The sequence below is a fragment of the Homo sapiens genome, chromosome 13 (genome assembly GCF_000001405.40).
Source record: "Homo sapiens chromosome 13, GRCh38.p14 Primary Assembly".
Taxonomy (NCBI): Eukaryota; Metazoa; Chordata; class Mammalia; order Primates; family Hominidae; genus Homo; species Homo sapiens.
Window position 1 is genome coordinate 27538911 of NC_000013.11, and position 12574 is coordinate 27551484.

The window sequence follows — 12574 nt, forward strand, 5'->3', positions numbered from 1 at the left end:
CCTCAAACATTTACTAAGTATCCACAGAGGGAGTTTTGTTGCTGTGAGCACCCCCCATCCTCCACAGGTGCCCATCTATCTCAGCACAGGCCAGGACTCCAGGAGCAGGAGTTTAGCCCACAGCCGCCAAGAGACCAGGCAAGGATCCCAGACTCCAACTCTTTAGGACTGAGCCACGCAGGAAGGAACAGGCACAGAGGGGTGAATCTACAAAGGGCTCTGGGGTATTGCTTCCCTGGTGGGAGAGGCTAGCAGTCAGGAGAATGGGACTAAACACATCCCATGAACTAAGACATTCTCAGGTCATTTCTAGAGGAGGTGAGTGAAAGGAGACCTTTCAATTAAACCTAGGTAAAGTAAAGAAAAACTTCATTTTTTTGAGACAGGGTCTCACTTTGTTGCCCAGGCGGGAGTGCTGTGGCTCAGTCACTGCTCATTGCAGCCTCCACCTCTTGGGATCAATGATCCTCCCGCCTCAGCCTCCCGAGTAGCTGGGACTACAGGTGCACACCATCACGCCTGGCAAATTTTTTATTTTTTGCAGAGATGGGGTCTCCCTCTGTTGCCTCGGCTGGTCTTGGACTCTTGAGCACAAGTGATCCCCCCACTTCAGCCTCCCAAAGTGCTAAGATTACAGTTGGAGTCACCTCGTCCCATCTCAAAAAAAACCTTATTTTTAATAGCTGCCGCCACCCTTACAACCTTGACATTGGACAAGTCGTTGTTGCTTCTCATCTTTTAGAGTCTGGGGAATAGATGTCTCTAACTTAACCGTTCTTGGTCAGCTTTCAGGCAATCTAAAGAAGGGAGTTCTTGTTGAATTCACCCTTAAACTGAAAACTTTTGAAGAAATAAAGCAAATGCTGATCCAAGTTTTTGAAATAGCCCATCTTGAAAGTGTTATTTGCAGGTGAGTGAGTGAATAGAGCTCAAATGGAAATCTCTAAGTGCTTCTCACTCAGCCATGGAGCGAAGCCACCTTCTCCTGATGGGAGGCATGCTCTCTGCCACCTGCGGGGATGGTGTGAGTCCTCCAAGTGCTAGTCTTTTTTTTTTTTTTTTTTGAGGCGGAGTCTCACTGTCACCCAGGCTGGAGTGCAGTGGTGCGATCTCGGCTCACTGCAAGCTCTGCCTCCCAAGTTCATGCCATTCTCCTACCTCAGCCTCCCGAGTAGCTGGGACTACAGGCGCCCGCCACCATGCCCGGCTAATTTTTTGTATTTTTCTTTTTCAGTAGAGACGGGGTTTCACTGTGTTAGCCAGGATGGTCTCCATTTCCTGACCTTGTGATCTGCCCACCTCAGCTTCCCGAAGTGCTGGGATTACAGGCATGAGCCACCGCGCCCGGCCTAGTCTTTTATTCTTGTAGGTGATTAAAGTTTTAGCATTTCTCACTTAGGCACTTTATAGCTATTAGGCACTGTGCTTACATGTACAACTTCACTTCTAAAGAGCTTCTGTGTTGCCATAGAAATTAATTAGTAGTATATTTACACCATAAAATGGCAAAAGAGCTTTCTAACAAGGACCTTAGGGAGCTGAAATCTTTCCCTCAGCAAGAAGACAAGACAGACTTAAGAGAAAAACCTCAACTCATGAATTCCTAGCCTGTTACCAGGGCAGCAGTTTACCATGTTGGTGTGTCATCTATATGGTTTTGTTGATCACCCAAGGTGGACAAATGAAAGAAAATCTGCATTGTAAAAGATGAAATTAGGTGCTGTGAGGAAGTGACCCAGAGCCTCTCACTATGTGTTGTGCACAGCAGGTGCTGGATAAACTGTTTAAACAATTCCATGGAAAAGCAACACAGCCATCACTCGAATGAGCCTGGGTATTTTATAGTGCTTAAGGAAACTTGGAAACAGTATATTTTAGCATGCACTCGAAACATCTCACTTTCCATTTTTCAATGTTGATTAAAGATACTTATTGCTTATATAAAGTGCCAAGTTAACCTCACCTCTCTTTAAGCTTTCAAATTCCAAATTAGTTAAGTCTGAATTAACAGGGCATTAATGTACTGTAACATGGGTGTCAGGCATGATGAAATGGGTGAAGTGCCCACAGAAGCTGAAATTCAGGTTAACTTCAGATTTAATTTTAACCATCCATGTATCTGATTACAGCTTCAAACATGTGAGGAATCATAAAGCAGCAGCCCACTTTCATTTATAAAAGAATGGGTATCAAGTTCTGAAGGTACAGCAACAGAATGAACAGACCTCAGGGTCTTCTAGTGAGAAAAGAGCCACAGCTAGGACAGAGAGGGAGGATTCAGCTGTTTGAGAACTGGTCACTGTGCACAGTATCTTGAGAAAACGAAACCCTCTAAATCTGCCTTCCAAAATTTCCTATGAAAACATGTCTCTGGATTTACAATGCAAGTTGCATTTGCTCTAGAAAAGTTGGTGATAGTGACCTTTGCTGAACTGCCCTTCCCCCAACCCCTCCCATAAAAAGGCAAATTGCTTCAGTGATTTCCAGACTGCTTGGAAACGGGTAATATAATGGTGAAAATGTTGTTGCGTCCCAAGCTTTTATAAAGTCTTTCCTTATATCTGGATTGCAACTTCAACTTTCAGATAGTATGGGTCAGTGTGCTGCCATTAATCCCACTCTGGCCTTCTGTTGCCCACATGTCCTTTGTGGGATGTTACTGGAATGTTAGGAACTATCATAAACTGTGCTTGCATCAGCCTTTCAGTATTTTACATAGCTCAGAAATGAAATCTAACCAAACCCCAACAGTATATAACAATTACAATAACACTAACTGGACAGGAGAATGAGGAGGAGCCACAACACTTGCCACTAAGTCAGACCTCAGGGTGGTTGGAGTCACGTGGTCTCAGGTCCTTGTATTGTGCAGAGGGGACAGAGCTATTGTTCACGTTGAAACTTTATGTTAAATATGCACGAAGAAAAATTCAAGGGTAACTGCAAAGTGAACAGAAACAGAGCTACAATTCGGTAGAAGAAAACATGAAGCACAGAGAGGCAGAGGAAATTAATATAGGGTGGAAAGAAAACATATAATAATCATCACAACATACATGGACAACCCTTGGCAAAATAACAAATTCCAAAAGTAACAGAAAAGAATCTGCTTATATGCTATTCATACACTTGTTCACATTATAATGATGAACTTTGGTTTATCACATCATTACAGCTGAAATGAGGTCACAAATTGGGAGAAGATATTTATACCTCACATCATCCACGAAGTATTAACATCCAGAATAAAGAATGTCTACACATGAAAAAGAGAAACACAAATAGCCCTTTAGAAAATTGTCCAACAGGTTAGTCACCAAAGAAGGGACCTGAAAGACAAGTAAATATGTGAGAAGTTCCTCGACTTCACCAGTAAATGGGGAGATGGGAATTGAAGTCACAGTGGGATGCCCTTTTCACCCTCTTCGGTTTGAGAACACCAAATGTTGGCAAGAATGTGGATCAACAAAACTTACCCAATTACTAGTGGAAATGTAACATTAGTGCAACCTCTTGGGAAATTAATTACCTCGTAAAGATGCACCTACTCTAAATGCAGGAATGCAACTCCTAGAGCAGTGGTTTTCAACTATGGCTGCATGTAACCCCCCTGAGGAACACACAAAACCAAACAAAATTGATGTCCAAGCCCTAGCCCAGACCAACTAAAACAGCAAAGCTCCCCAAAAGATTCTTGTGTGCAGCCAGGATTAAATGAGAATCACTGCCCTGCAGAAACTCTCCACATGCACATGAATACTTGTTTATGGGTGCTCCCACCAGCACTGTTAATGATGAGAAGAAAAAAATAACCTAAATGTCAAGTAACTAAAATATGGATAGAAAATTGTCATAATCATTGACTAGCAAGAAAAATTTGAGCTACATAAACATGCATGAATCTTGCAGCAAAAGTAGTTGCAGAACACCACATATGCACATCATTTACAGATTTAAAACCATACACACAATATTATATTTGAATGATGTATAAATACGTAGTATAACTATGAAGAAACAATGGGAAGGCCAGAGGGTAGACACAAATGGGGAAGGAAGTCAAATGGCAGCGGCCCTGCTTATATTTAAGCTGGGTGGTGGGTACACAAGTGTTCACTGTATTATTTCTGACTTTTGTGTCAGAAAAATTATTATGAATTAAAAATAGCTAAAGAATGCAAAATGGAGACAACTCTTTTGGGAAACTTTACTATGAATAGCAGAGTCAAGAGAGGGTTATTTAGAGACAAGGTCTTGCTCTGTTGTCCAGGCTGGAGTGCAGTGGCGCAATTGCGGCTCACTACAGCCTTGACTTCCCAGGTTCAAGCGAGCCTCTCACCTTAGCCTCCCAAAGTGCTGGGATTACAGGCATGAGTCACTCTGCCTGGCTGAGTTTGTTTAAAATATGAAATATGCCCCTGATATTTTTTCTTTTTTTGAGATGGAGTTTTCACCCTGTCACCCAGGATGGAGTGCAGTAGTGCAATCTCGGTTCACCGCAACTTCCACCTCTCAGGTTCATGCAAGTCTCGTGCCTCAGCCTCCTGAGTAGCTGGGCTTACAGGCACCCGCCAGCACACTCAGTTAATCTTTGTATTTTTAGTAGAGACGAGGTTTCACCATGTTGGACGGGCTGGTCTCAAATTCCTGACCTCAAGTCATCCGCCTGCCTCGGCCTCCCAAAGTGGCTGGGATTATAGGCATGAACCACCGCACCTGGACTACTGCCCCTGATACTCTTAACCAAGGATTTCTACCTGCCTTCTACCCACAAGGTGCTCCCTAAGCAGCACTAGAGGCCTCAATTTTCCTGACCAGCTCAAAGATAAACGGACAGAATAACTCCCACTGCTCAAGCATGGGCTGCACACACTATTGTAGAGAAACCGGATAAGTAGTTGAGGCCAACTTCAGCAGCCATAAAGCACACAGACAGCAGGTATCCTTGATATGAGGACAACAACATTTTACCTTGGGGATATCGCTCCAAAAACCCATTTGCCAGTCATAATAAGAAAAAACAGCAAATTCCAATAGAAAGCAACTTGCAATATACCTGACCAGCATCAGCATTCTCAGCACCCTCAAGAGCAAGGAGTCTGAGAAAATGGCACAGCCAAGAGGAGAATAAGAAAACATGACGACTAAACGTACTGTAGACTCCCTGAACAGAAAAAGAAATTAAGCCTCGATTCTATCTTGGCAATATCTTGAGCTCTTCAGAAGTGACAGAATCTCTGATATTTATTGTCTAGTTTTAAAACACTGCCACAGATGGGGTAATCAAGCATCTACCTGGCAAAGTTTTCTTCTTCCTAGCATATAGCTATGACCATAAATGTGTAACTTACTGAAATCTTTAAAAGGAGCCAGAAAAAGCTTGCCCAGAGAGATTGGTAAAGATTTCCTAAAAGAGTGGTGTCACTTGAGCTAAGTCAGCCCCTGCAGACGCAGAGAGCAGGGGATGTATGCGGGCTGGGGTGGTTTATATAGGAAGCAAGAAAGGATGGGAAATAAGGCCACAGGGGCAGGTTGGGGGCCAGACCACAAAAAGCCTTTTGTGCTATACCAAGGCTTTTGATTTATCCTGCAGACAACATGGAACAAATGGTTTTTTTTGTTTTTTGTTCGTTTTTTTTTTTGAGACGGAGTCTTGCTCTGTCACCCAGGCTGGAGTGCAGTGGTGCTATCTCAGCTCACTGCAAGCTCCACCTCCCGGATTCACAACATTCTCCTGCCTCAGCCTCCCGAGTTAGCTGGGACTACAGGCGCCCGCCACCACACCCGGCTAATTTTTTTGTATTTTTAGTAGTGTGTTAGCCAGGATGGTCTTGATCTCCTGACCTCGTGATCTGCCTGCCTCGGCCTCCCAAAGTGCTGGGATTACAGGCGTTAGCCACTGCGCCCAGCCAAATGAAGATTTTTAAACAGGGCAAGGATATGATTAGAGTTGGGGTTCAGAAGTTACTCTCAAGGCTTAAGAGTTTGGATTGAAAGATGAAGAGATAGGAAGTAGGCAAATGCTTGGGAAAGCACAGATTTCAGTTTTGGAGGTGCTGAGATCTGGGTGTCTGTCTCAGGCTGTGGACTGTGGGAGCTGTAGACTTAGGTGTCAGTGGTGCTCAAAGTTGCAAGGTTAAAGATGGTACTTAAAACTCTAACTAGGTAGCAAGAGATCGAGGCCAGAAGAAATGCATACACAAAGGCCTACGGAGATTCACCATTAGGAAGGAAAGTGGGGAGTGGAGTTGAGAGTGAGACACATGGAGCGTCACTTAAGCCCTCACTCCAGATATGGGAACAACGTGAACCAGCAGAGAAGAAAAAGCTTTACAGTTGGAGGAAATACTGTAAGTGTGTGCTCTGAGGAGGCTGCTGGAGCAAGGGAGGGTAAATGGCACCATGGAGCCATCTGGACAATCCAATTAGGAGTCTGACCACAGAGGCCTTGGTTTGAACTTAACTTACCAGAAAACTAGGAGACAACTTTCTTTCTTTCAGTTACAAATTTTTTTTTTCCTAGTAACCATATTAGAAAAGAAAAAGAGGCCAGGCCTGGTAGCTCACCTCTGTAATCCCAGTGCCTTGGGAGGCTGAGGCAGGTGGATCACCTGAGGCCAGCAGTTCGAGACCAGCCTGGCCCACATGGCAAAACTGTCTCTACTGAAAATATAAAAATTAGCCAGGCCTGGTGGTGGGCACCTGTAGTTCCAGCTACTCAGAAGGCTGAGGTAGGAGAATTTCTCAAACCACGGAGGCAGAGGTTGCAGTGAGCCAAGATCGTGCCACTGCACTCCAGCCTGGGTGACAGACCGAGACTCCATCTCAAAAAAAAAAAGGAAAAAGAAAAAGAAACTGTGGGGTGAGAATAAGGTGGGTTTGTGATCCTGAGGTTTCATGCTCGGTGCTCGGTATATTATAAGGACAGTGGAGCCAGCAACAAAAATACAGATCACAGACTAAGTCAACAGCTGCTGTTCAAGAAAAGAGACAACGTCACTATTACAGAAAGGATGACTTTTATTTCCATCCTGAATGATTCACACCATTATTTAAACATCTGAAAAATCCTGAAATAATTTAAACTGAAGGCACAGAACAAACCAAAATATTTAACTATCAGAACTAAAAATGAGAAAATCCAAATAGTTCTATAGTAACAATAAATTATGAACAAGTTTCCGTCACCAAATATCACTCTGACCAAAAATGACTGTCTTTTGTCATAAAAGCTACAGCTTAAGCTGATTCCAAGATTTCTATAAAAATGAGAGTGAAGAAATTTCTTCTTTCAAAATACTCATTATGCCACCAGGTTCAATGTAAGTATTTTGTATATAACAAAGTAGCAGTCAGGATATTTGTTGATGGATGGCTACTCCCCAAGAAATGACACATTCTTACAAACTTTAAAAAAATAGCAAAGTTGGTTACAAAATTCTATTTGGGGAGCAGGGAAAAAACTTGTTCCATGTCAATTAGAATATCAAAGCATTTCAAAATCAAACTGCTTCCAAAGCCAATCATCACACAACAGTAATATACTGTATGGGCCATTCCACTGTATCTTGTTATATGTTGATCATACAGTGTAACTAAGGGGTTGAACAAGTCAGTAGCAATGATTGTTGCTGTATCTTATTCCAAATAGATATGTTTTTTAAAAATCATTATAAAACTAACTGAAATAATCAGTGACATGCTACAGATACAATAAACCCCAGCAATACAATTGCTAAGTTTCAAAATAAAGTGGTCATGCTTCATAATATATTGTACTGTAGTATTCTGAAATACATTCTCTGATTATCAATACCATTTATTACAGAGGTCACTTGTAAATTTGCTCAGATTCTGAACTAGGTTTCTAAATGAAATTTTTTTCAAGTATGTATAATATTAATAAGGTAAAGATATTTTTATCTTATTCACTTATTTATGTGTTCAGAGGATAAGTATGTTGAATAAAGGACAAAAAATGGGCTAGTCATAATTTTCAAAAACATTTCAAAAAATATGAAATAGTCTAGTGACTGAGAGCTGACTGAAAGATACATCTAAAACCTACATTTCCAACAAAACAGAACTTTTCTGTCTCCTACTTGAAACAACTAATCTCATAAGAAATAATGGGAAAAATAATTGTTTCTAAAATACACAAGAAATACTCCTACCTGAACAAAATAAAAAGGTCTCCCTTTCTCCTACTTAGCTGTGATATATAGGTATTTAATAATATGGTTTTATCTTTATCATTTCGTTTAATCGCATAAATCACAAAAACATTTCTAGCCAAGATTACTGCTAAGAATAACACAACTCTAGAAATAATTTTTTAGCAAAAACTACTTCAAAATTTCCCTACATAGCAAAACATTCCTCTGGAAATAGATTTTTAATGCTTTTGGGCTGTTCAAGTAAGTGCAGCTTTACCATCTCTAACATTAAGTTATAATTATCATCCAAATTCCTTTGTAACTGGATAACATTATCTTTTATCCTCTACTATTCTAATAATAGTATATTAAGAAATTTCTTTAGTGTTGTCAGACTTATTTCTTCATCTTCTATGAATATTGAGAGATTACAGTAGAAATAAACCAGAAAATCAGTTTATAAACAGTATGAAGTTTTGAAATGTTGGCACCAATAAAAAATGGGAACGGCCGGGTGCGGCAGCTCACACCTGTAATCCCAGCACTTTGGGAGGCTGAGGCGGGCAGATCACAAGGTCAGGAGATCGAGACCATCCTGGCTAACACGGTGAAACCCCGTCTCTACTAAAAGTACAAAAAATTAGCTGGGCATGGTGGCACACGCCTGTAGTCCCAGCTACTCGGGAGGCTGAGGTGGGAGAATGGCGTGAACCCAGGAGGCGGAGCTTGCAGTGAGCTGAGATTGTGCCACTGCACTCCAGCCTGGGTGAGAGTGAGACTGTGGTTCAAAAAAAAATGGGGAACAGTTATCACCAAAATTTAAAGTATATTCATTCATGGTATTGGTTATGACAGTGGCAGTACACGCTGTTGTTACTGGCTTTGCTGACATCAGGCCTGAGGGATACAGAACTCGTTCTATGATTCAGTTACTGAAAACAAAGACCCACCAGAAGGTCTTTACTCCATCTGGGGCACAGTTTGGGTGAGCTTTGCTCATTACCATAGGTAACATTTTAACAACTAAGTCTGAATTCTGAAAATATAAACTCACAAAGGTTAGTGGAAGACTGTTTCCAAGCTAAAAGAAATGTAACTAACTTAGGAAACCATTTAAATAAACATAAACGGACAATCTTAGTGGGTTTTGGCCCTGTGTATACCAGCAGTGTCAGCAGCTCCTAAACCACAAACACAATGAAACCAAAGGGTTTTCTTTCAAAAATCTAAAAAAGGAAGATGCAAGATTTGAAACCAATTTCCAAAATCTATACAAGGCTGCCAGGCCAACAAATAACGGTCAGAGTGACTTTGTTCCTCTGCTCCTTCAACATGGGAACTAGTGCAGAGTGGCTCATGCCCACGGTTGACAGCCCATTTACGGCCACAATCATGTCACCACACCTGGACAAAGAGAGACAGATACAGAATGTTACTATTTTCATGGTATTAAAAATATCCCAATTGAGATTTATGTAGCATGAAAAATGCGGTTTCACTTACCACTGAACTGTCAATGGTTAGGGTGTATAATCTACTTTGTCTGGGACAGCCCTTAAGCCTATGCTGGCTTTCCCTTGCCAATCAAGGAAACCCCTGTGCCGATGACTCCATAACCAGTAGGTGAATGTCAAGGACAAGCAGAGTAATTTTCACACTAATTTAAGCAAAATATAGAGTAAATATGCTCTCTCTTTAAAAAAATACCAAGTCATGCATTTGAAGGGGGTTATTATTTTGACTGCTATTTTTCTATTCATTCTTAGAGCTCATACATCTGAGGGCTGAATTAAATTGGAAATAAGACCCATACTTCCTCTTCTTTCAGCTGTTGACGCTCACTGTACTCTAAGCAGAATTATTATGGATGGATGATGAATTGGAGGACCTTTCCAGCCTTATAATTACCATAATTATCCTTATGGTTTTTGGTCTTCTATTTATACCATAAATATACTATTTTATTGTTAACTACCTCAATTTCTTTTTGGAAGTAGGAGGAATACAAATTATAATTAACAGAGGCCCAGACTGGTTAAGTAACTTAGCTAAGAGAGTGATTAATTCATTTTTCCCTACTCTGTCCTCCTAAAATGATTTTTTTTCATCTTTATCAATATAGGCTGACCTGGAGCATACCACTCCCAATCACCTTTCCATACATTATTTAGATGTCACTTACTCCTTGCAAACAGTGTACATTCTCCATCTGCATAGCATTCTATATAGAATGTCAACATTTACTTTTTAAGAACTGGTTCTTCCTTCGTAAACCAGGTATTAAGAATTTACAATCAACCACCTCCTCTCTGCTGGTGATGATGTCTTGCCATGACACCTTCTCTTTTCTTCTCCCAGTGCCCGGGCTTTGATAAGACGCTGTACACTGAGCGAGGACTTTTGCTCAGTGGTAGAGGCTGGCAGAGGGGTTAAAGTCCAGGGATCTAGAGCCAGATAGTCCTGGGTTTGAATGCCAGCCAACCACTTTCAGCTATTTCATTGTGGGCAAGTTTCTTAACCTTTCCAAGCCTCAGTTATCTTGTTTGTTTTAAAACAGGGATAATAAAGAAACTTACCTCATAGGATTGTTAAAAAGATTACATAATGCATGCACAGCACTTAGCACCGCGCCAGGCATCCTGTAAGCTATTGTACATTCATTCATCAAATATTTATGGAGATCTTACTTTATGCAAGGTATTGTTATGACTGCTAGGGATATAACAATAAATGCAACAAGATCCCTCCCTTATGGAGCTTGCATAAATACGATCTCAGGTAGAGATGAGTGCTATGGAGAAAAATGAAGCAGAGTCATCTAATGACAGGACTGGACCTGAGTAGGCTGTGTGGGAAACTTACTCAGCGCTCAATGTCACATCACAACGTGATGAATGAAATATGTCCAATGAAATAACTCAGGTTCAGTTTCTGTCATCAGATTAATGAAACATAGCTATAAGTGACAAGACAGTAAAGGTAACATTTCAGTCTAGATCGGGATTGGCAAATTTTTTCCGTAAGGGGTCAGATGGTAAATATTTTAGGCTTCAAGACCCATACAGTCTCTGTCATGATGACATCAACTCCGCTGGTGTAGTGTGGGAGCCAGAGAGTACATAAACCAGTAAGTGTAGCTGCACTGCAATGAAACTTTATTTTCAAAAAGATAATGGGCTGGATTTAGTGCTGACCCCTGACCCCTGGTCTAGATCATGTCCAATGTCATCAACATGAATCACATCATTAATTAGAACAAGACTCACTTTAATCTTCCATCATAATAAGCAGGAGTTCCCAAGACAATAGTTTTAATGAAAAAAGGCTGATTGGTGTGGTTCTCTTCATATCCACCAACGATACTAAAGCCCCAACTTCCCAAGTAACTTCTTCGTAAAACTATATCGTGGCAGCTATGAAGTGTGCTATAAACAAACAGAAAAATAAAGAAAAAATTAACATGGAGGCTTTTATAGCCGCTTATTTTTGTTATAACCCCATACCATGTTATATTTACCACTCTTGGAAAAAAGAAAAAGGGCTATTAATAAATAGATTATTTTGACAATCCATCTTCTAGCAGAGACACAGTCCTAGGTAGACTCAAATTTCTCCAACTTTTTTCAGTCTTCCCAAGTGAAGACACACACACACACATACACACACACACACAAGTAGAGAACCTGGTTACAAATTACACCTCAGTAACCTGTACAAAAAGGTCATGTACCTATATCAGCTCACTGCATTGTCAACAAAGTCCTCAATTCTACTAATCACTTTTATCTACAAGAGGAATTACAATGTGGGATGAAAGAGGTCTAGTACTGCCAAGCCCAGCATGCAAATGAAAGAAGAAAAAGATTAGGAACGCAGCTTCCGAAAAGAAGGCAGATAATTATCTCTCTTTTCTAAAGGTCCTATAGGCTTTTAGTCTACATGAGGAGTTATTTGTTATTTTCTCCTTTACTTAGGATGTTTTCATTTTAAGGGAGACTCTAATTGCCAAAATAGAGAAATCAATCTGAAAAACACTAACAAAAAATCTTTTTCTTTTTTTTTCTATCATAGACAAGCTGGGTACAGCGTCATGTGTCTGTAGTCCCAGTTACTGGGAGGCTGAGACAGGAGGATGGCTTGTGCCCAGGAGCTTGAGGCTGCAGTGAGCTATGATCATGCCAACTTGGGTGACAGAGCAAGACCCCATCTTTAAAAAAAAAGAAAATATATACACATCTATACACACACATGCATATATAAATGTATCATAGACACTGAGAAACTACAGTTAGAATGCTACTGCCAGATTGCAGGATGTGTCCAGAGAGGGAGAAAAAAAAAATGTACTTATGTTTCCATAGCTCTATGGATTTGGGAACAAGCAGTGAGTAAAATCTTAAAAACAAAACAAACAAAAA

The 12574-nt window shown here is 40.7% G+C and overlaps 1 protein-coding gene across 9 annotated transcripts in view; it reads right to left on the reverse strand.

Annotated features, from left to right (window-relative positions):
- Positions 1 to 7002: 7002 nt before the first annotated feature.
- LNX2 (ligand of numb-protein X 2) overlaps positions 7003 to 12574 on the reverse strand; it is a 75195-nt gene continuing 69623 nt past the window's right edge. For all 9 annotated transcript variants that reach the window (XM_017020434.2, XM_011534995.3, NM_153371.4 and 6 more), the window contains 2 exons: positions 11423 to 11581; positions 7003 to 9560 (listed from right to left, as the gene is read on the reverse strand). In XM_017020434.2, the coding sequence (XP_016875923.1) occupies positions 9425 to 9560; positions 11423 to 11581 (295 nt within the window). In that variant the 3' untranslated portion in view covers positions 7003 to 9424. The remainder of the gene's footprint in view (positions 9561 to 11422; positions 11582 to 12574) is intronic.